Genomic DNA, 24,760 nt, shown 5'->3' on the forward strand with positions numbered 1-24,760 from the left:
TGTGAACTCAGCAAAAGAAGTCACTCACTATCACAAGGATAGCACCAAGCAATTCAGGCAGCATCTGCCCCCATGACCCAACCACCTCCCACCAGGCCCCAGCTCCAACATTGGAGATTACATGTCATGTCTGCTTTTTTTTTTTTTTTTTTTGAGACAGAGTTGTTGCCCAGGCTAGAGTGCAGTGGCTCAATCTCAGCTCACTGCAACCTCCGCCTCCCCGGTTCAAGCGATTCTCCTGCCTCAGCCTCCGGAGTAGCTGGAATTACAGGCACCCGCCACCACTCCTGGCTCATTTTTGTATTTTTAGTGGAGACAGGGTTTCACCATGTTGGCCAGGCTGGTCTCAAACTCCTGACCTCAAATAATCTGCCCTCCTTGGCCTCCCAAAGTGCTGGGATTATAGGCCTGAGCCACTGTGCCTGGCCTGGAAATTACATTTCCACATGAGATTTGGAAAGCACAAACATCCAAACTATATCTATCACTTTGGATGAATCATGCCTTTACCCTTGCATGGGCTTTTGTGACTGAGAGTTTATGGACACGTGTGTCCTATTTTACCACTTAATATAGAACTGATTGTTTTAGTAGGTAGATTTTAAAGTAAAACTATCAATCACTGAGTAGATTTTCTTTGTCTATCAATTTTCTATCTAGTAATAGAAGCAGAGAGGATGTATGCATATATATATATGTATATATATATATGTGTATATATATATATATATATATATATATATCTCTTCATCTTAAGGAATTGACTCATGTGATTGTGGAGGGCCAGAAAGTCCAAAATCTGCCGGGCAGGCCAGCGGGCTGAAGAACCAGGAACAAGTTGATACTGCTGCTTAAGCCTGAAGGCAGTCTGCTGGCATAATTCCCTCTTTCTTGGGGGAGATCAGTTTTTTTCTCCTTAGGCCTTTGACTGATTGGATGAGGTTCACCCACATTATGGAGGATAATCTACTTTATTCAAAGTCTACTGATGTAAATGTCAACCTCATTTAAAAAATACCTCACAGAAACGTCTAGAATACTGTTGGGCCACATATTTGAGTACCTGAGTTGTTGCCAGTAAAAATGACAATAAAATGAACTATCGCATACCCCAACTTCATTTTGGAGAACTACTCTCCTTAGTCCATGTATATCAGGTGGAGCTGACCTCATTTTTCTGACTCCAAGGGTGAGAATGTGACATAGGCCCATCATAGCATCAAAGTATCCTGGCTAAAGAGATTGCTTCAAGGCTGGCCATATGACCAAACCCAGATCAATGAGAGCCAGTCCTGGGATTTTTGCCAGAACTACCAGGACTGAGCCATTGTATCATTCTTAGAGTTTGAAAGCTAAGGGCCTGGAAGTCTGGAGCTGCAGGAGGTCATCTTTGTTCCCATATGGGGTAAGTCTGCCGGAAAGTTAAGCCAATCCAGGGAAAAGAAAGCAGGAGATGGAGAGATGAGACATGGAGAACAAGAGACAATTTCTTGCGGATATTATATAAATGTTATTGAAAACCTGAATCTAGCTATCTTGATCCATGTTTTTAAAAGCTAAGTAAGCTAATACATTCTTCTTTCTGCTTAAACTAATTTGAGTTTCTATCACTTGCAACTGAAATAATTCTGATGAAGATGCAATATGCTGGATGTTCTAGGTAGTTCCCAGAGGCAGCCGCTTTCAATAACTTTAGCTGATTCTTTTGATGTTTTTCTCCATGTATCTAACAATATGCCATTACTGCTGTTTTGTGATTGATTTCAGTCAGTAGTTGCTGACTTCCTGTTATGGTGAGTGAGGATTCCTTCCTCCTTCTCCATTTTATAATTTTTTCTAAATGCTTCAACATATCTGTCAGCCACTCAGAAAAAAATGATGTAAACATTCAAAATCATCAGTTGCACTCTCTGCCACCCCTACACCCTTGTGCCATAGTAACCATTTGCTGCTCTGAGCTGGCCCTGCTGCCCTCCGGACTTGGTGCACAGCCGTTGTTCAGGGGTCACTTCCTTTCACTGATGACTTGCGTAGGAAAACATAGGAATGATGACCTGTGTGTTTTGGATTCCCAGTCTTCCTCTCTTGATTTTTCTCCCTCAATTTATTAAAGCATGTACTCCAGGAGTGTCCTTAGAAAGCACTCATGGGAAGTAATGTTTTTTAGTCCTTGCTTCCTCATGTGTGTTATTATTAGACTTCTACACAAGCACACCCTGTTTGTCTAGTGGAAGCATTCTAGGTTGAAAATAACTGTCTAGCAGAATTTTACAAGCATTGCTCCACTTTCTTCTATACCCAGTGTTGCTTTTGAGAAAAGTCAGATGCTACTCTGACAAATGCAATTATGACGTTCTCTTCATACCTATTATTCCCTAACTCCATGATTATGCAATTTGGAGGTTTAACAAAAAATGATTGTGGCAGGTGTTTGCTGGGCCTTTTAAGTATTGAGATCACGCCCTTAAATTTGCAAAATTGCTTCTAGTATCTATTATAATTTCTACTCATCTAGTTCTTTGTTCCTTTTTAGAACTCCAGCAGTCAGCTGTTGGTCCCCTGTATTTTCTCTCCCGTTTCCTAACTCTTTGCCTTTTGATTCTACTTTTTGGGAGATTTCTTTGACATTATTCTCCATTCCTTTTATTAAGTATTTCATCCTAGTTGTCATGGTTTTAAGTTCTAAGAGCTTCTGCTTGTTGTATGATTTTAAAAATATCAATTTTTATTTTACAAATGCATTATCTAAGCTCTCTGATATTAATTGCAATTTTTTTTGGTTTGTTTTGAGTGTTACCTAATTGTTTACCTTTCTTCTAAGATCCTTTTCTTTTTTGGCTATTGCTTTTGAATTCACCTTTTCATGTTGAAGTCTTTCTTTTCAAGCATTTATGATCTTGAGTTGTCTGTTCATATATGAGTGAAGCTCTAGATTGAAAGCTGATTGGAACATCTGTGTGTGTGTGGGGGGGCGGTGGGGTGGGGGTGAGTGGGGAGGTTGTTGATGGTGGGCTTTACTACAAAGCAGACCATCTGGCCTCTTCATCAAGAGACTCCCTCTCCCCCCACCAAATGTAAATATGCCAGTTGTCTTTCTGGGGTGCTAGGGTGGTTTGATTTTTCTTTTTCTCTTTTTTTCTTTTCTTTTTTTTTTTTTTTTTTTGAGATGGAGTCTTGCTCTGTTGCCCAGGCCAGAATGCAGTGGCACGATCTTGGCTCACTGCAACCTCTGCCTCTGGGGTTCAAGTGATTCTCCTGTCTCAGCCTCCTGAGTAGCTGGGATTACAGGCGTGCCCCACCACGCCTGGCTAATTTTTGTATTTTTAGTAGAAATGGGGTTTCGCCATGTTGGCCAGGCTGGTCTTGAACTCCTGGCCTCAAGTGATCTGCCTGCCTTGGCCTCCCAAAGTGTTGGGATTACAGGGGTGAGCCACAAAGCCTGGTAGGGGGCGGTTTAGTTTTTCAAGTTTAGATTCCCACTCTCCTGCCTCATGAGTGGTGCTGAAGGTGATGGAGGAGGTAGTATTTTCTACCTGCCATGTTCTAGGGGGTGGGAAGGAGGCTGATATTTTCATTTGTCATATGTATTCTTTGCTTAATTCCTCTGTGTTCAGTCTTGTGTCTCACTCCTGACCTGTTCTGTCCTTGGACCCACCCTTTGGGTTACCCAGTGCCATGAAATCTGGAGTCCCTGAGTTGCAGGGGGAAATGTCTCACTCGTCGCCATCCTCTTCTCCTTGAAGGCGCTCGGCATATGATTCCTCATACTCTGTTAAGACAGTGGCCCCTCCTTCCACTTTTCATTTTCTGAATATCTGTGTCTCCTACTCTATTCTCTTTATCTCTGAATAATCATAATCTTTTAAGTTCTTTTATGGTCATTTTAGTTGTCTAGGAATATAGAGAAGAAACAACAAAATTGTTATGTGATATTATACATGTAATCAATCTTCCACTTGAAAGCAGAGTTACCTGCAAGACTCTTGACATCCTTACTCTCTATTTTAAAGAAATGGCAACTGGAAATCTAAGATAGTGCATCATGGGTGTGGTTTGTGCAAGAAAGTCAATGCTGACCTCCAGTCAGCAGACTCATGCCCAAAGGGGGGCTTTGGCCTAATGTCACAAAATTCGTAATATATGTGCATGTATGTTTTGAATTAAAATGAGGAATGCATATATCTTTCAACTGACTTTTCTGACTAACCACCCAACTGCTAATTTGAATTTTGATAAATAAGAGGGTTTCTACTGACCTTTTAAGATTTTCATAGATTTCCCCTTGGTTAGAGTGATGGCAGTGACTCTGTCTGCCTTTTTTATCACTTTAACTTCGGTCCCTAGAACAGTGGCTGGCTCACATAAATGGATACTCTAGAAATGTTTGTTGAATAAAAGAATAACTTTTCAAAGCTTTACAACTACTCTTTATAGTAGTTTTATTAACCCCATCTTATAAATGAGAAAACAGAAGCTCAAAGAAATCAAGGGTTTATCACACAGATGACAGAGTGGGTAGAGGAAGTTGAATATAGATTGCATGTTAGATAATAGAATTTTTGTATCTTGTATTACTTTGTTAGGTATAATAATGATACTGTGGGAAAATATCTTTACTCTTAGGAGATCCATGCTGAAGTATTTTGAGATTAAGTACCATAATGTCTACACCTTTCTATGAAATGATTCTCTCTCTTTATCTCTCTCTCTCTTCCTCCCTCTCTCTTTCTATGTGTGTGTGTGTGTGTGTGTGTGTACAGAGAGAGATAAATTAAGGATGGTAAAATGTTAATTATTGAATATAGGTAGAAATATATGAGAGATCAGTGTATTCTTTCAACATTTCTGAATTTTGAAAATATTTACCACACAGAGTTGTAAAAGCAAAAATTAAACAAAAATAGAGAATTAGACTCAAGTTTGTTCAACTCCAAAATATCAAAAAGCAAATTAAAGGCAACTGCTCAGAAATGATCCAGTGAGCACTGAGGATCAAACACTATTTCCTTTAGGAAATGGGAGCTAGGCAATCCAGAGAGAGCAAGTAAGGAGTATTTAATACATAATTCTGATGGTCTTCTCATATAGCCACTTCCGTAAAGTCAGCGTAAGAGTTAGGACAGAACCTTTATATAGAGAAAGGAAAGATCTATGGAAAAAAAGACTGAAAAGCCTGTTGAAGGAGGTACTGTTGAAGGGACTGGGACTTTTTTACCTGGAAAAGAGAAGAATTCAGGGTAATGTCATCATCTTCAATACCCAATGCACCAAATACTCAAAAGACCAAATGCTAATTTAGCCTAAACCCATTTACTCTTCATAATGTAAAGAGTCAAAATTTTCTAAAAGGCAAAAGATTAAAAAGTAATTTAGGAAAAATTTTGTATAGATTAATTACAACTTATTACGTAAACTTGAAGAGAACAGAGAATGTATATAAAATTTTAGTTGTCCAATTTGCTGCAGGCCAGGAGGTAAGAAAATACTTATTGAATGTCTACTTAGGGTGCTGCCCTGTGCTGGTATTTTACTGGTTATCTATTTGATGCTTATAACAACCCTATGAATTTATGCTGCTTTCCCTTTTTCATAGATGAGAAAACTGAGGTTCAAAGAAGATTATCATTCCTGTGAAACCTCCCCCCAAAATCCATGTTATCATCCTTTTGAATAATACTGGAGTAATTTCTGTATCCATAAAAGATGGTGAATCCTTTTTAGATAAATTATTTAGTTATGAAATAAAGGCAAAGGGATTGAATTTAACAGGGGCTTGACTTGCTAAGGTCTGGGCCTCTTTTCTAATGACCCTGCTGAATATTACGGGAAACTATTTTAGAAGCAATAGGAATTCAGCTTCATAGCATCAGAGAACCTTCTAAGGGGCAGAATTGAGGGCTTCACTAAGGGATTAGCTTTAAAAAAAGTGCAAACTAAAAATTTCATTTGGAAATTAGTAGAATTTCAAGAGATTCAAGATCTTCTAAGTTGGTTGTGATTGCAGAAGAGTGAGGGAATAGGTAGAGCCTCAGAGATGGTAACAGGGCTTTGAGATATTTGAGAGTGCTACAGTTGTCTAGAGGCCTAAATTGAAGTTACTTAGTTGTGTGGTGATATGGTTCAGCTGTGTCCCCACCCAAATCTCATCTTGAATTGTAGTTCCCATAATCCCCACATGTTGTGGGAGGGACCCAGTGGGAGGTAATTGAATCATGAGGGCAGTTACCCCCCATGCTGCTGTTCTCATGATAGTGAATAAGTCTCATGAGATCTGATGATTTTATAAAGGGGCATTCCCTTGCACACACTCTCTTGCCTGCACCATGTAAGATGTGCATTTGCTCCTCCTCTGTCTTCTGCCATGATTGTGAGACCTCCCCAGCCATGTGGGGCTGTGAGTCCATTAAATCTCTTTTTCTTTATAAATTACCCAGTCTTGTGTATTTTTTTCATAGCAGTATGAAAATAGACTAGTACATGTGGTCTCCAGCAATTCACTTAATCTTTCTTCTGTTTTCATACATAAAGAATAGTTGTGGAAACTGCAGCCTTGCTCCCACTATATGATTGTTGTAAGAAACAAATGAAATATGTTTATATGTGTGATTGTGGAGTTGCAGGGTCAACACAACCGAAGCTGTGTTCATCTTGGTACTGGTAAGGCATATCTACCTGATGATTTATTGATATGCTTGGCCACCCAGCATGCTAGGAGATGGTTTATTTTAAGGAGAGAGAAAGCTGAAATACCCAAGTTTGGTTCATGAATAATTGGTCCATAAGGGAAGGTGAGATTCAGAACACAATTAACTTCAGTCTGGATGGGAGGAAGGATGGGATGAGGATAGTTTTCAATAAATAAGCAAGACAAAACTAAAAATCATCATTTTTCTCAAATATCTGGAGGACTATTGAGACCACAGAGAAGAACTCAGCCGATAGGTGCTGGCAGTTTCAGCAGTGATGGGAAATGACCTTCGGGGTCATTAGAGTACTTCAATAGCACCCTCAACCCATGAGCACTGGCAACTGCATCACAAAAAAGAGTGGGCTCCTGGAGAGGGGACCACCCCATGGTCTTCACCAGTGGTGGGTTTGGTGGGCTCTTGTTAGCCTCAGCTAATAGAGGCTCTACCAGAGTGAGTCAAAGTGGGAAATGAGGGAAATGTTTCCATGTGACTATGAAGAAGGTCAGTTCATGTAGCACGCAGAAGATGCCCTTAGGAGACAACTTCTGTGACAAATTTGAAGAGAGGGCAGGGAGTTGTGTCAGGCAGTCCTGTCAGAGAAATTGGAGGCAGAGCCTGCCAATTGTTTACCATTTTTCCACTTTTATTGTAATTCTATTTTTATCCCAGCAGAAATGGTCCAGAAAACTTGGGTGGTATTTGTTGGGTGACTATACAAATATAAGGAATCATGATAAAAGTAATTTGCAAGTTCATTTATGCTTATGCCTCCCAGGTAGACATCAGAGGAGGTGATGCCTGCTGATATTTAATGACAGGAAGAAACCAGCCATGTGAGGGAAGATTGAGGGCAGAACATTCCAGGCAGAGAACACAAGGGCAAAGGGCCCAAGGCTGGGATTAACTTGACCGGTTATGTGGGCAGAAAAAATGCAGACCTTGAAATGAGGTTGGCATGGCATGAGGGTGGAAAGGAAGGCAGGGGTCCGGACTTTGGAAGCCAGGATAAAGGTTTAGGATTTCATTGTAATTGTGATCTGTGGCAGTTGTGCAGGGGGACATTTTCGATGGCAGTAGTAGAAGCAGGATGCTATGGCAGTCACCCAAATGAGAGGTGATGAAGGCTTGGACATTGATGATATCAAGAAAGATGAAGTGTAGGAGGATTCAGGATATAAATTTGGAGGTAGAGTTGACTGGATTTGCTGAGAAGATTCTGGGGGGTGGAGGGAGCTGAGAAAGGCTGGAATCAAGGATAACTCCTTGAGGACAAAATGTGAAACTAGATAGACATAATCCTCTTTCATGGAGGCTGGGGAGAGACATTTTAATTAAATAATCCCATAAGTGGAAAAGTGTAACAGTGACAATGTTTCAAGGGTCAGATTTTCAATGCTCCAGGAGGGTTGAAAGGCGGTGTATGATTGAGTGAGGGAGATCAGGGAGGGCTTGTTTTGGGTGAAAGTCTAAATGTGAAGCAATATGTAGAGGGAACATTCCATTTTCTCAAGACTGGTATCCTCTGCCTTATTTGGGGAGGCTTTTTAGCAAAGGAAAGAGTCAAACATGTGCCCAGAGGAACCCCACTCTCATACCCTGCTTCTCTTCTTCCCATGGCCTACAAACGGTTAAAAAAGATTTCCTCAGCATGTGCAAGCATGCAAGGGAGAAACTGTGTGTGAGTTCCCAGAAGCCACCCAATTGACCATCCTCTGGGTTGTGGAGACAGGGTACAGCCTGTTCTTTTTGTACTTTACAAGTTCAGTGAAAAAAGCAACAAGCTGTTTCTTTCCCTTAGGCAGGCCAGCCAAGAGATAGCAATGCTGTTTCTTCCTCTCTCTTGTTTTCCCCATGATTATCTTGTAAGCCTTTCCTTTTACACATTTGAGATGGGTTTGAAATGGTTCCTTGCAGAGGGTTTGCATCAGAGAGTCTTGAGTTTCCCTTGGGTCACTTTCCTGAGGCTCAATTTTGTCACCAGTAAAATTGGGGTTATAGTAGTAACTATCTTAGAGAGTTGCAGGGTAGACTGAGTGAGCTGATAAATGATAAGCTCTAGCTTAGTGCCTGCCTCATTACAAGTGATTAGGATGTGTTGCTATAACAAATTACCACAAACTGTGTGACTTAAAACAACACTGAATGATCACCTTACAGTTCTGAAGGTCAAAAGACTGAAACAGGTTTCACTGGCCTAAAGTCACATTGTTGGCAGGGCTGCATTCCTTCTGGAGTTTCTAGGGATGAGTCCATTTCCTTACCTTCTCCAGCTGCTGGAGGCCACCTGCATTCTTTGGCTTGTTGCCCCGTTCATCTTCAGAGCCAGCAGTCACTTCACTTCGAAATCTGTTTCTGATTGTTATATCTCCTTTGACTGTTCTACCTGCCTCTTCCATATTTAAAGGACCCTAGCTTAATCCATTTATGCTGGATTTATAACAAAATACCTGAAACTGCGTCATTTATAAAGAACAGAAACTTATTTCTCACAGATCTGGAGGCTGGAAATCCACCATCAAGGCACTGGCAGGCTTGTTGTCTGGCGAGGGCCTCGTCTCTGCTTCCAAGATGGCACCTTATTGCTGCATCCTCCAGAGGAGCCAGACGCCTGTGTCCTCACAGGGCAGAAGGGATGGAAGGGCAAAAGCTTCCTTGCTAGTACACATCAGCCCTTTTGTGAGACACTAATTCCATCCTTGAGGATAGAGCCCTCAGGGTCTAATCACCTCCCAAGGGCCCCACTTCTTAAGACAGTTGTGCTGGTGATTACGTTTCAACATAAATTTTGAGGGGACAAAAACACTGCAACCATAGCAGATCCTTTTGATTATGATGTGCCACCTGAATAATCCAGGGTAATCTCCTTATTTGCAGGTCTGTTGACTAGCAACCTTTATTTTATTTGCAACCTTAATTCCCCCTTGCCATGTAAGGTAACCTATTCACCTTGGTTCTGAAGATTAAGCTGTGAGCATTTTGGGGGCCATTATTCCGCCTACCACAGTGTTCAATATGGATAGCTACTACTGTACAATCGGTCCTGCATCATCTGTGGGTTCTGCGTCCATGGATTTAACTGACTGCAGATTGAAAATAGTTTTTAAAAAGCATTTGTACTGAATATATACAGACTTTTTTCTCATCATGATTCCTTAAGCTATGCAATATAACTACTATTGACATGGCATTTACATTATATTAAATATTATAAGTAATCTAGAGATCATTTAAAGTATATGGGAGATGTGCCTAAGTTATATGCAAACACTATTTTATTTTGTATGAGGGACTTGAGCATATCCAGATTTTGGTATGGGGATGTCCAGGAACCAATCCCTTCCACATACTGAGGGACAGCTACATATAGTGAACTGTGCTAGTCAATGAAAAGGATGTGAAGAAAAATCCGCTGTAACCTGTTAATTCAAAGCAGCATACGGCTTGATTTCTACCTCTTAAATAGGTAGAAATAAAATGCTGTTAGTCATGGGTAGCGTTCAGAAGAGAACAAATCACACCTGGAAATGAGGATCAAGAATCAGGAATGGATCTGTGCAAACAGTATTTCATTTGAGACTAGAGGCTGGGTAAAACTTGAAGGGGTGAAGATCAGATTTAGTTTAGGAGAGGTGGTGGGAAGAGAACCTTCTAGACTAGCTATATCCAGTAGAAATATAATATAAACCAAATATAATGTAAACATTTCTAGTAGATACATTAAAGAAGAAAAAAAGGTGAAATTTATTTTATTTTATTTTATTTTGTTTTGACACAGAGTCTTACTCTGTTGCCCAGGCTGGAGTGCAATGGCGTGATCTTGGTTCACTGAAACCTCCAGCTCTCAGGTTCAAACAGTTCTCCTGCCTCAGCCTCTGGAGTAGCTGGGATTACAGGCGCCCGCCACCATGCCCAGCTAATTTTTGTATTTTTAGTATAAATGGGGTTTTACCATGTTGGCTAGGCTGGTCTCAAACTTCTGACCTCAAGTGATCCACCTGCCTTGGCCTCCCAAAGTGCTGGGATTACAGGCACCCAGCCTGAGATTACTTTTAATAATATATTTTATTTAATTCTGAATATCGAGAATATTATCATTTTGATATGTAAGGGATATAAATGAATTATTGAGGTATGTTACATGCTTTTTGTTCCTGTGTGAAGTCTTTGAAGTTTGGTATGACCTTACACTTAACAGTGCATCTCAATTTGAAGAAGCCCAATTTGTAGGACTCATTAGCTGCATGTGGCTAGTGGCCTCCATGTTGGGAGCACAGACATTGATGAAGACAATGGCATCAGCAGAAGCATGGTGACAGGAAAGTTCAGGATAATTTGGGGAACACGACAGTGCAACAAGGTAAGAGAGAAAACAAAAATATTTAGGTTTCAAATTGCAGAAGACTCAGAATGTTAAGTGTTTGTACCTAATTTGGAAGGCATTAGGAAACTAGTGAAGGTTTTAGGCAGACAAATGAAATATTTAGAGTGGCCTAAGTGTGCTTGAAGAGAGAAAGAGACATAAAACTTGATTCTTCCACTTAGAAGTTTAAAATCTTGTAGGGGAGAAGAATGTGTACACAAAGTAATAATGATCTAAGATAGAGAGTACTGTGTGTTAGATTATCAGTACACATAATAAATGCTACAAGAGAGGAAAGAAAGGAAGCCCCAAGGCTCAGAAGTCTGAGACGAGTTTTCCAGGGCTGACCTCAGAATGTCAGCAGGGTTAAGTTCCTCTGGGAGGCTCTCGGGGAGATTCTGGTTCCTTGCCCTTTCCAGTATCTAGAGGCCACCTGCATTCCTTGGCTTGTTGCCCCCTTATCTTCAGATACAGCAATTGCATCACTTCGACCTCTGACCGAGACAATAGGAGGAGCGTTGGGGAAGTTGGGGAGCGTTCCTGGTGGGAAGCTGGCTGAACCCACAGTGTGAGTGTAGGCATCTCCATGGTCTGTTTGGGAGGAGTGGAAGCTCCCAGCCTTCATTGAATAGTGAGAGATAACGATGGTGAGCTAGGTTGATGCCATATTTTGGCAGATCCATCTGAAGAGCCTGAACACTCTCTCAAAGTCAAGAGAGAACCTCTAACAATTTAATTTTTCTCTTTCCTTTTAGAGACTGGGTCTTACTGTGTCACCCAGGCTGGAGTGCAGTGGCATGATCAATGCTCTCTGCAGCCTCAACTTCCTGGGTTCAAACAATCCTCCTGCCTCAGCCTCCTCAGTATCTGGGACTAAAGGTACATGCCACCACAACTGGCTAATTTTTAATGTATTTTTTATTTGGTAGAGATAGGATCTCTCCATTTTGCCCAGGCTGGTTTTGAACTCCTGGGCTCAAGTGATCCTCTCACCTTGGCCTCTAATGATTTAAACAGTGTGATGGCATGCTCTAGGAGGCATGTTTTAAAAAGATTAATCTGACCAATGGGTGGGATGCACTGCAGGTGGGTGAGACTGAAGACTGGGAGTCCAGTTAGAAGGCTGTTGCTGTAGTTGTGGTGTGAGGTCATGAGGTTAGGAGCTGGGGTGGAGGAGTGAGCTGATTCTTAAGAATTTAAGGTGATGAGATATGGGGGAGAGGGCGTGAAAAGGGTTAAAGAAAGCTTTGTTGCAAATGGCAGGTATTAATATGAGTGGCAGGACTGGAATACCCAGTGGTTGGCAGTGACGAAGTGAATGTTCACTGTAAAGATTTCATGGTAATTTGGATTATGTCAGCAAACCTGTTTTTATACAGTAATATTTGGCGACTTTGCAATAAAAAAGAAACTTGGCATGCAGGCAGCGTACGTCAGTCCTCTTTCAAATGAGATAAAACTCTAATACTTTAATACTTATTGAGCCTCTGTAAGATCTTCCAACTGTCATCTGTGGTGTAAGCATTCACTTAGGACGGGAGACAGTGTTTTTTTTTTTTTCTTCCCATGAAGTGTCTAGATGAAAAGAAATTCTATAATAATCAAAGGAAGACTAAAATTCTAATCTTTCTCTTGTCTCAAAAGTGAGAGAGATTTAAACCATGGTGTAGCCTTCTCTGTTGTCTGAACTCCCTAAGGTCAACGCTCAAGGGCTCCGGGCAGGCGATGGAATAATTAATGGCGCTATTTATGTGCCTGTAATGTTCAGAGCTGACACCTGGAAGACACGGATGAACGCTGTCAGATCATTCCAAAGGGGGATGTGAGAAGCCATGCATGAGCAGGAAGATAAGTTACTGGAAATACCTCACAGATCTGTAAGGGGGTCAGAGTTCTTGGGACTTCTCAGAAGGTATTTTAGTATGTGAGCGCTTTTGCCAAACCACAAATTTGGTCCCACTGAGTCTTTCTGTTAGAATACAAATCCTTCTCTTTCTCCTACTAGTGGCTCACATTGTGAGTACAGTAGAACAAAGGCTGGGGATGAGGAGCCTTCTGAATATTTTCCTGATTCTCCCTAAAGTCACAGGGATGGTGCCTGTGTGACGCCGTGAGCTGCACTTGTCAGTATCGCTGTGTGTAGCTCGTTACAATTCTGCTGGGATGCTGAGTGCTAAAGAGGCCCTGTAATATGTTAGAGTTGACTTCTGCTCTATTGTAGCTTGGTTGGATCAGTGTGTTTCACAAGGCCAGAAAAAGTTTCTCTTAAGTCTTCAGACAAATTATTAGCTCTCCCATATAAAGGTCGCCCAAACTGGGGGCAGCCTTCACTTACCCCTACTGTCCTGGTATACTTAGGAGTATCCTGGTTTGGATGTGTTCATTCTATATGGTCAGCATTCATTTTATATGATCACTCTCCCTTTGGGGCTGTTTTATCTCATTGTGCAGTCTGTCTCTGGATATGGTTTAGCTGAACCCAGAGTTTCCTTATATTTGGATCTTTCCCTTTGTTCCACCTTCAGAGAAGTCCCACTCTGGATTCCATATTCAGAGAGGATGACTAAGTCTTTAGCCCTGCCTTAGAGAAGTGTCCCTCCAAAGGGGCCCAGAGCGGGTTCTGGGTGGAAGGCAGGGAGCTGAATTTTTCTCTCGTCTATGCACACAGGAGAGTTATACTTAGGCAAATTATTCCATTAGGTTGGTGCAAAAGTAATTGCCATTTTTACCATTAAAAGTAATGGAAAAAAACTGCAATTTCTTTTGCACTAATGTAATGGAATAATGTGCCTTAGCCATTGCTCTGCGCCTTGACTGAATTTCTTAGAAAAAGTTTATGAATCTTGTTCGAGCTGCTTGTGGTTACTCTTGCGTATGGGCTGGGGAAGGGTGTGGGTTGTTGCCACTATCCTAGGTCCTCTCCTGAATAATAACTTCCTGGAAGGCAGGATTTCAAGCCTTAATTCTTTTATCCTAATTATACACAGTCTAATACAATATCAGAAGTATGTGGCAGTTTAATAGGAAATAAACGCAATTACAACAGCATAAGAATTATTTCTATCTCATGGCTAATGCCCCAAACCTCTGTGGGCTTTATGGAGCAGACCAAATTTTGTTCACCAGCCAGAAATGCTACTTGCAATTTACTGAATCCACGGTACTGTTTCCCCCAAGATTATTTATAATTTTTCTTCTTTATTACAAAAGTTTTTATAAAGCAGAGTTTTATAAAGGGGTTTTTATAAGGAATTTTATAGAGGTAATTATTACTGAAATTAAGATGAGTAAATATGACCCACAATCAACTTAGAAAAATGGTTTGCTTTCATGAGAAGGCACTAATTATTGTTATTTTCTTCACGTAGTCTTTGGGCTTGCAATTAATTGGTCTTTGATGAAAGGCAGAGCCTTCTTGGCTTAAAATGGTTCCCTGAATTGACTACAGTTACATCTTCAAGAATCTTGAAGAATGTGTTTGTTTGAATACCTGCATTCAGAAGTATAAACATTCATTTCAGCCACTCACATGACTATCAATATGGTTAAAAAATGATAACACATCTGAACAATGTAGTATAACAAATATATTTTTGGATTTTAAAAATCTTTTATCTGTATCATCTTCCAACAAAGATTTCTAACTTTGATCAAAGATAAAAATCAGACTTAAAATTTGCCCCTAAAGTTAGTAAGACTTCTTGTGTCCTATGAGAGCCAAACTGTCCTTCAAATATCTAGCAAGTTACCCAGCATTAGGGGATCCACCACTAATTTTTGGTGGCCCCCAGATATCTTGCTACCCTCTAGCTACCTTCGGTCAATGACTAGCAGAAGTTGGCATGGAAATATGCCAACCCTCTTTCCCTTATGTGAGACAGCTCTGCATATAGGAATTAAGGGCCAGTTGCCCACATTAGTAGCACCTCAGATATATGCCAGACATATTTTCTGTAGTATTAGGTTGGTGCAAAAGTACTTGTGGTTTTTGCAATTACTTTTAATGGCAAAACCACAACTATCTTTGCACCAACCTAATAGATCACAAACATGGCCACAAATTTCTACACCCTCTATATCCAAACCCTTGCAATGTGACTTGGTAGCTCCTCCTACCAAGAAGCAGAATCTTTATTCATTGCATCTGAGCTAAGCCATAGGACTTGCTTTGGTCAAAAGGACGGTAGCAAAAATGGCACCAAACAACCTGTTCACTCTTGCTGCTCTTGGAAACTTGAGCCACCACGTGAAGGCTGGGTTAGCCTTTTAGGTGACAGGACACATGGTTCAGTCACCTCGGCCACCCCAGCAAACAGTTAGCTATTGCTCACGTTTGCCCAAGTGAGCCCAGCTCAGGCCTGCAGAAAAACCATCCAATTGAACCCACTCCACACTGCTGAGTCTAAGAATTGTGAGCTAAATAAAGTTGTTTTAGGCCACCCAATTGGGAGTGGTTTGTCATATAGCAGATTTAAATGTTAGAGCTGTTTACTGGTTTGAAATCTCTTGCATAGGGAGTTAAACTTGAAGAGGGAAAACCTGAACTTGTTAGGTAGATACAATATGTCAGACACAGTTCAGGAGATTGTCATTTATTATTTCAATCAAACCCACAAAGTAGGTGTTAACCATTTCCATTTAGAAATAGAAAAACTGAGACCAAGGGAAATTATGAAGTTGCCTAAGCTTGTAAGTGGTAGAGCCAGGATTCTTAACCAGGTGTGTTTTGTTCTGCTGAATTTGTCTTTGCCCAAAAGCAGACTTTGAGTGACGGATTCAGGTACCAGTAGTTTACTTGGAATGTGAAAGGAAAGTGGGAAAATGAATCAGGAGGAAAGGCAGAAAATGAAGATAACTTACCTAGCAAGTTACTAATGTGGACAACTGGCCCTTAACCCTTCTATGCGGAGCTGTATCACCTAAGGGTAAGAGGGCTAGCTAGCATATTTGTACACCAACTCCTGCTAGTCATTGGTTGAATGTAGCTGGAGGGCGGTGGTGTGTACATGTGGGGAATTCATTATCTAGCACCACATGGACTCTGGGCTCTGGGTTTTGGCAGTCATATACATCACCCACGCAATGAGATTCAGACGCTGGCAGTTGGACTTGATGTGTGCTGATGTAGTCCACTCAAAGGAGTACGAACTGGTCACTGTAAGGATCTCTGTAGCAGCCTTCCAACATCAGGCTCTTTTTGTTTTGGTTGGTTGTTACCATTTCTTCATTGCCATAAAATTATTCTGCTGCAAGAACAGGGACACAGAGAGAGAGGAACATGGAGAGAGAGGAGGACACAGACGGAGTGGGGACCCACACAGACAGAGAGGAAAAACAGAGAGACAGAAAAAATAAAGATATGATTGCCACCTAAAATATCTGGTGGTTTAAGGCCAGCAAATTGTTTTGTGGCAGAAGTTGGCATCTTTGGGCTCTGAGTGAGTTGGCTGAAAGTAGTCAGCCACATACCATTAGTAGCAAGGGAGAGCAGACAACCAGCAAGAGAAGAGCATATACTTCCTGCTTTCCACTATTTATCTTTCAGTCAGGCAACACTTTAAATATACTGGATACAATTAGCTTGTTTATGTATTTATCTCTCCATCATTTCATTTAGGCAACAAACATATAAAGAGAAGGCCTACCATGAGCACTGAGGAAGGCTTACCACTGGGCACTGAAATTCTCTACTGAACCCAACACACATGGTATCTGTTCTTAGGAATGAGCCAGATGCAATGCCATTTTCATATTTAAGTGAGATACTTATATTAGTCATCTCTGGCTGCCATAACAAAACATCACAGACTGAGTGGCTTAAATAACAGAAATTAAATTTTTCATAGTTCTGGAGGTTAAAATTCCAAGATCAACGTTTCGGCACGTTTAGCTTTTCTCCTTGGCTTGCAGATGGCCGCCTTCTCACTGCGTCTTCACATGGCCTTTCCTCTGCCCCGTGTGTTCCTGGTGTCTCTCTTCTTACAAGGACACAAGTCATACTGAATTAGAGCCTCACACCTACCAGCCTCATTTTAATTTAATCACTTCTTTGAAGGCCTTGTCTCCAAATTCAGTTACCTTCTGAGAGACTAGGGGTTGGAACGTCAATGTGTGAATTTGGGGAGGACACAATTTAGTCCATAATGCTTGTATATAATTCTACTTTATTAGGAAAACTCCAATACATCAGTTAAAATACTTGCTGCTTCATTTACTCACTTAGGTGATAGAACCTCTGGATCTGAATACTGTGTTCTTCTTTTTGTTCCATCCTTCCTAGCAATAAAAAGTATTAATGATAGGTGTTGGATTAATATGTTATCATTTCTGGGGAACTTTCAGGGAATTTTAAGAGAAATTCAGCTTCAGCTGAAAGGAATGAATAAAAATTTCAGCTTCTGTGACAGTTGGGAAAGAAAAATATTTTGCCATGGGAATAATTTAAAGTTCTCCAGAGGACATTATCTATGAAGACATCACTCCACAGGTCAGAACCAATGACTCACCTTGGTTCTCTAGACCTCTGGAAAACTGAACGAAGGGACTTATATTACAACCCAAGTAATTGAGTTGTGTACCGGAGGCATTTTCTGACTAAGGTTTATTGGTTACTGATTGGTATGTGTTAACCAATAATATTACTGCTGAGGTTCTTGTTGCTAACCTTGAACTTTAGAGCTTCTGTGAAAGTCTTTATTCATTAAGCTTTGTTGTCAATAGTCTGTGGTCAAGTTCTTGGGTAAGAGTTGTCCAGGCTTATTAAGGAAGGAGGGTGGGGGTCTTGTTCCTGGAGTTCCCAGGCATATTATTGTTTGTATCAATTTTCTTACATAAGGAATAGTACTGGGAAGGTGGGGGATGATCACCAAGTGTCAACTTGAGCTGTTAAACACATTTCTTCTTTTTTGTAAAATTAAAATCTCAAACTAAAGTTGACTTATTTTTAAGTAATGATCAAATATAAAATAAAACAATATTTAATAAAAATCTTGCCATGGGAAGAAGGACTTTTGACATTAAATTCTACCTTCTTTATCAGTAAAAACTCTAGGATATGCTTTTAGGGTATGGTATGTACAGTCTTGATTAAATATTTTCTTGATATGCCTATTATAAATGTTTGAAATTTATTACACTTGAAATTTACCTTCAGGCTAAGGCAATAAGGAATAAAAATAAGAGGGGTCACATGCTAACCAATATCCATCAGCTCTTAGCCCAACTTCATTCTTTAGATTTGCTTTAGAGTAAGGTGCTGAAGGAATAAGAGATGAGACAAGCAAGTTTTGATGAAAGAGGGGAGTTGGAAGTGTGGGGTATTATATAGAAAGACAGACTTAAGAGGGTCATCAGAGTGGATTTAGCTGGCATTGAATGCCTGAGTCCAGGCTACTAAAGGGAAAAGGATTATCAATGAAAGAGAAATTATACATTAATGTTTAGTCACATCACAATTTTGTGTGTGGCTCAGCAATTCTAAGACTTCTTTCCCAGGTAAAGGTGAAGGTCAAAGTAGAAGTGTTCTTCACTCATCCTGAGCCTCACCTCAGTCATCTCTCTTAAGACCTTGTCCTCCAGGAATTTACCCTAATGAATGAGTGGTGGGACGATAGCTTCCATTCTCTCTGTGTATCTGAACTTGTTTTTCTCGCACCTCTACTCAAGGGTAAGAGATATGTCTTTGTCTGCTAGCAGCTTTTCAATAGAATCAACATCAGAACATATTAATCAGTAATAAATATGTGTCTCAAAGCAGGAATTGGTGGAGAGAGCATCCAACAAAATGAATTCTCCACGTAGCAGGCAGTTGGCTTCATAGCGATTTGCGAAATGCCATTGAAATGACCCTGCTCCCAAATTCTCTCCTCCCTCCCACATAGTCTCAAATCCCAATCATTAGAGATTAGTTCCCTGAGATTAAAAGACATGAGGTCTCTGGGAGTTCCCTTTGAAAATTAAATCCCTGGGGTGGGAGGTGAGGCAGGTTGGGGAGGAGGTATATTAGTATAAATGAATGTATTAGCGACCAGCAACTCATTTCTGTAACAGGATGAAGGCAGTAGTGGATGCAAAATGCATGCTGATGAGCAAAGAAGGGTCAAGTCCAAAGACTGTCGTGCCCTGAGAGAGGAAAAGCAGAGTGTTCTACAGTGGGGGAGGGGGTTGAGTTAGCTAGAGCTTGTATGAACACCCAGGAGGAAATCACTTGACCTGGTTTTTGACAAGCCTGGAAAAAAGAAATGAGAGGAAATGAAGAACAATTTCACTTAGTTTACGATTTGGCACAGGGTTGTTCCTGTTTATGATAATTTAAATAGAATAAAATCTGTCATCTATTAACAGCTACTAGGAGCCAAGTACTATGTTAGATGTGTTAATTTTTTTTTTTTTTTTTTTTTTGGAGACAGAGTCTTGCTCTGTCCCCCAGGCTGGAGTGCAGTGGCGTGATCTCGGCTCACTGCAACCTCTGCCTCCTGGGTTCAAGTTATTCTACTGCCTCAGCCTCCTGAGTACCTGGGATTACAGGTGCCTGCCGCCATGCCTGGCTAATTTTTTTTTTTTTTGTATTTTTAGTAGAGACAGGGTTTCACCATGTTGGCCAGGCTGATCTTGAGCTCCTGATCTCAAGTGATCTGCCTGCCTTGACCTCCCAAAGTGCTAGGATTACAGGCATGAGCCACCGTGCCCAGCCAGATGTGTTCATAATTTTAATAAAACATGTTGTGCGCTATTCTTAACAACTTAACTTTACCTAACAACTTTACCTACGTTAACTAATTTGATTTTCAAACGTCCTTTTGTGGCTGCTACCATTAACTTCCCATTTTACAGAGGAAGAGACTGAGACACAGAGAGATGAAGTAATCCAAGATCACGTAATTGGGAAATGGCAGAGCGTGGATTTGGACCCAGGTTGTCTAGTTCCATGGTCATGCTCTTGACCACTGCACTATTCTATTGTTCATGAATGTTATTTCTTTTAGGAATGATATATGCTACTTGTTATGCCTGTACCTTCATTTAAAAGCTGTTTGTGGTGCTAGGATAGGGAAACCATTGTCCCAGTTTGCCTGCAACTGAGGGGTTGCCTGGAATGCAAGACTTTTAGTGCCCTAGTTGGGACAGTCCCAGGCAAACTAGTATTGTTTGGTGACCTTATGCTAGGAGTATGATTGTGATGAGAATAACAACAAGGCCACCCTGAGAGAATTTATAGTCTGGTGCCAAATAAAATTATAAATTTAAACATGAATCTGAAATAAAAGACGTGGTCTATGAGGGCAGGTAACAGAGGGGCCATGGGTCAGGTGGGGAATGCCTCCTATTGTAACAGAAGCAGAAGGATTCATCGTGTTTATTATGTCTATCTCCTGATCCAAGAGGTGACAGGACAGGTATGAGTTAATTTTTCCCTTTGGAGTGATTTATATTCTTACCACATCTTAAAACCAGAGAAGAGTAACCAATAATCAAAACTTATACCACTAATGCCTCATTTATCTCAAAGATGCATTTATATTACTGTTTAAGCCGATGTGTTGCACTTTTAAATAATTATGCACAGTGCATGTGTATTTTTTAATCCTGCTTTGGTTTTTATAATTTACAGCTGCAGAGAACTCCAGGAGCTGTTTTTAAAGAAGATTAAGGTACTGCATCAAGAAGCCTCCATTTCTAATCAGCAAAATCCATTGCAGCCATAGAATTAAAATTAAATATCATTACATGTTTCCCAAGAAGTTTAGGAGAATCTACAGGTTAAAAAAAAAACAGAAAGATTAAATGCAGCAGGAATGTGGTATGTGAGTAAGAATTCCAAGGGAGAATCTCTTGTGGATTTCTCTGATTGGAAACAGACCTGGGGACCTCTAAGGGAAGGATGGAAGCTCTGTCAAAAGGCAGCCCTCTTTCAGCTCCTATTCATTTTCAAGACAGCATTGGTTAATCATGTGTAACTGAGAGAAAATGGAACTGGTAGGCACTTTAATTGCAGGTCAAGTGAGGTGAACAATAAACAAAAAAATCAACTTGGGCTCATATTTTAGATTAGTGGCTAGATTAGAAGGAAAAGTCTTAGCTTCAAGGAATTAATAGAGAAACAAGAGGTCTTTTCAGCTGGTTTGGAGAAGATCTTTTAACACAAACCAAAGAAGCAGCTCTGTGTTAAAGATCTAGCCCATCCTTTCAACAGGAGAGGGTTCTGGTGCAGGAGTAGTGAAGGGTAGTAGGTAGGAGGCCAGATCTGGCCTGTCTTGGTGTGAGCCTCTGTGTTGACACTACCCAGCCAGGTAACAACTGTCCTTAATGCCAGGTGTTGCTGGATGATTAAATGGTAGATGGAAAATGCCATATAAGGGATACAAAGGGCCTGCCCAGCAAGTCTGTGGGGAGACTGACCAGTTATCAAGGTGGGACTTTACAAGACACACAGTCTGCAGAACAAGGAAGACACGCAAGTGGCCCTGGTGAAGTCGGGTGTGGGGAGCCATAATGAAGACTTACTAATGGGGCATGTCCACAGTGATAAGAGCAGTAGCTTATGATTCTATGCTTTTGTTTCATCCATATCTTTAATGAGTGGCTTTAGGGGTACTGGAAAGTGCTTGTTGAAGGCAGCCTCATAGAAAATAGATAGTCTAGGCAATTCAACGAATCGGTAAGGCAATTTTGATGAATCAATAGGAGTGAATTTGGCAACTTTTTATGCATGGTTTTGCATTTTCTGTTTTTCCACATTTTACAGCTTTACTCAATTTCTTTCTTGTCTGACCTGTTATAATGGAATATTTTAAACTGTTTGTTATATTTATATGATGGAACACAGTGGGGATCATTAAAAGGGATGTTTTGTGATACATATTACACAAACCAATAGATCCATCCATTCATTCATTCATTCATTCATCTACAATCATTTGTTGAGGGTCTACTATGTGCTCGACACTATTGAGACATGAGACACAGCAGCGAACAAGGCCTCAATAAACAAGAAGGAAAGAGGACAATATGATAGAGTTTTAAGTAGGGGGTTGAGGGAAGCATTATTTTAGATTGGGTGATCAGGAAAGGTATCTCTGAGAAAGTGATGTTTGAGCAAAGGCCTACAGGATGAGAAGGACCCAGGCATGCAAAGAGCTGGGGGGATGTATTTCTTTGCGGAAGTAGCAAATAAGTGCCAAGGTCCGAGGGAGGAAAACTGGCAAGACAGATGAACAGAAAGCAGTCAGGTGTGGCTGGAGTATTAATGTTCAAAGGGCAGAGGGATATGAGATTTTGTTGGAGAGGTAGGCAGGGCATGTAGGAGTTTGTAAGCCATGGTGAGGAGCTTGATATCTATGCTACCTTATTTAAGAAAAAAAGAAGATAAAAATGGCATGCCTGGAATGAGTCTATATAGAAAGAATGTATTTGTGCATTTAGAATCTATGGAAGGGGGATACCACCAAAGAATTAACATGAGATTACTCTGGGGCAGTTTTACTATAAATATTCTTTTTGTTTTTCTGTGCTTTCTGATTTGTTTCTTAATTAATCGATTATTTTTCTTATATGGAAAAAAAACCCTAACAATAGAAACAAAACACGTATGGGCTTAAAAAAATTAAAACATTTTAAAAGTACCATTCATTTTTAGACAATTATGGTTGTTCTTTGTTTGACATAATTTAATGACCTCTTAAATTAAAAAAAGTTCATACATAAAGATACTTGTGCAAATTTTCGTAAGCTAAAAACTTGAGCAAAGGCATGAAATATTGAATATTTGGATTATTTCCAATTTTAATTTTGCTCTCACAAACATAACAGAGAAGGCTAACAGGCTAAAATGAATTAAAATAAAAATGCATGTCAGAAAAATATTCATTTTGGATGACTGTGCCCTTGTGATGAAGCTGCTTTATCATGTCATCTATTATGAGAAACTGAATTGAGCCACTTAAGAGAGAGACTGGGAAAGTTGAGCAGGAGTTCTTAGGACTTAGGACTTAGTTAAGCAGTCGAGGATACAATCTGGGTTCCCAGCCTAGCAATGACCTGGTTGGTATGTTTGGAAGGGAACCTGAGGAAGGAGTAGGTGAGAAGAATTCTGTGACCACAAGGCTATAGGGGATTCATAACATTTTAGTTCAGTGGTTCTGAAACTTTTTTGTCTTTGTATCCTTTACCCTTTTAAAGATTATTGAAGGACCCAAGATCTTTTATTTATGTGGTTTATGTCTATTGGTATTTATTGAATTAGCAATTTAAATGAGAAATTTTAAAGGTATTCATTTGTCAATTCCTTTAAAAATAACAATAACAATCTCATTACGTTCACCCCAACCAGGAAAAAGTTAAAAGCATGTTGATAACATGCTTTGAAATCTTAAACCAAAATATCACATGAGCGTGGTTTCTAAAATAAATCCTTAAAAAATACATTTCTAACTAAGTTATGGAAATATTTCATAAGAATCTTGCTTCCTTTGGATAATCGGCATGAGTATGATTGTTCTATTTGAATTCAGTATTAACAACATTTATTTTTTTTAAAATTGGACATATCAGTAATAAAATGCCAAGAATGTCTTTGATGAACTTTCTTGGAGAATGCCACCTGTCTTTTGCTTGAGTGCTACCTGTGGTTGAGGCTGGTCTCTTGCTGAATTCCTGAGAAAATTGCCATGCGTAATGAAGGAAAGCCTCCAACTCAAGAAGTGGGGAAGATGGGCGTTGCGATTTTTAAAACCCTTCACCAACTGTCTCCTGGCTGCTGGGGGACACAGATGACACTCATCCTGTTTGTCTACTAGATTGCCTAGTCACTGTGAATAAGATCAAATAGAATTAGACAGGCATTTGTTTGAGAGAGTTATTTATACTCAAATCTCAAGGTTGCATTTCATGACTTTTAAGGGCTTCAGATGAGAAAGAGAATAAAAGAAGGTGTCCTTTTGGGATTGCTAGTAAGAAGGTCTGTTGCCTGTAGCATAGTATCTTCGAAAATCTTCTGTTTTACATGGCACATCTTATATAGTATTTAAGTCGTATACACTACATCTTCTGTTTGAGTTTCTCATCGACTTTTTCTGTCTACCCCACCTCCAGCACCATGCCATTCTCATGCCCCCCAACTCCCATCTTGTTGTCTTTCTTTTCCTTGAAGTGAGAGCCTATGTATAGCTAGAAGAAGAAAAGATGGAATTGCCTCAATTCTTCTTGCTTTCCCTACTTCCCTCAAGCTTTTCACTTCTCATCCTGTTTGCCATCTATGCATTTTCTTTCATGCTGAGCCACCTGTCACTGTTTGCCCACTACTTACAGTTTTTGTTCCCATATTGGTTAGGGAGTTTTGATGCTTAATATAGGATCAGAGAGTCATCATTTTTTAGGACTAGAAGGGACCTAGGGGATCGTCTACTCTAACCTTTCTCATTTTTACAAGCAAGGAAATGGAGGACCAGATTGTTGGAGTGATTTTTACAGGTTCACTGAATAAATGGCGTAACAAGATGCACTCAATGCAGGAGTGAGGCATTGATGTCTGTTGTGTGATTTCTGTGTTTCGGGTGATGTCTAGTTGCTAGCTCATTTCATTGCAGCAACCAGCCTGACTTTTGTAAATTATGAAATTGAGGCTCAAAATGATTCAGATATATTCCTAACTCCAAGGTGCAGGACACTGGGCAGCCTGACTGCAAATCCCACATTTCATCTCCTGTCTCCTGGC

At 40.2% G+C, this 24,760-nt stretch overlaps 1 long non-coding RNA gene across 4 annotated transcripts in view, besides 1 other annotated feature; it reads left to right on the forward strand.

The window, feature by feature from the left end:
* LOC105375523 (uncharacterized) overlaps window positions 1-24,760 on the forward strand; it is a 459,019-nt gene that overhangs the window by 56,860 nt on the left and 377,399 nt on the right. For 2 of the 4 annotated variants that reach the window (NR_187954.1, NR_187953.1), the window contains one exon: window positions 20,660-20,699. The exons of the other annotated variants lie outside the window; for them this stretch is intronic. This is a non-coding gene — a long non-coding RNA (uncharacterized LOC105375523). The remainder of the gene's footprint in view (window positions 1-20,659; window positions 20,700-24,760) is intronic. 4 annotated transcript variants of the gene reach the window in all.
* Window positions 20,074-23,162: an enhancer, noted in NCBI's record as "VISTA enhancer hs2077". NCBI's record gives its function as "enhancer in: ear[5/9]" and the evidence as "EXISTENCE:transgenic organism evidence [ECO:0001131][PMID:17130149]".

Source organism: Homo sapiens, chromosome 7 (genome assembly GCF_000001405.40).
Source record: "Homo sapiens chromosome 7, GRCh38.p14 Primary Assembly".
NCBI lineage: Eukaryota > Metazoa > Chordata > Mammalia > Primates > Hominidae > Homo > Homo sapiens.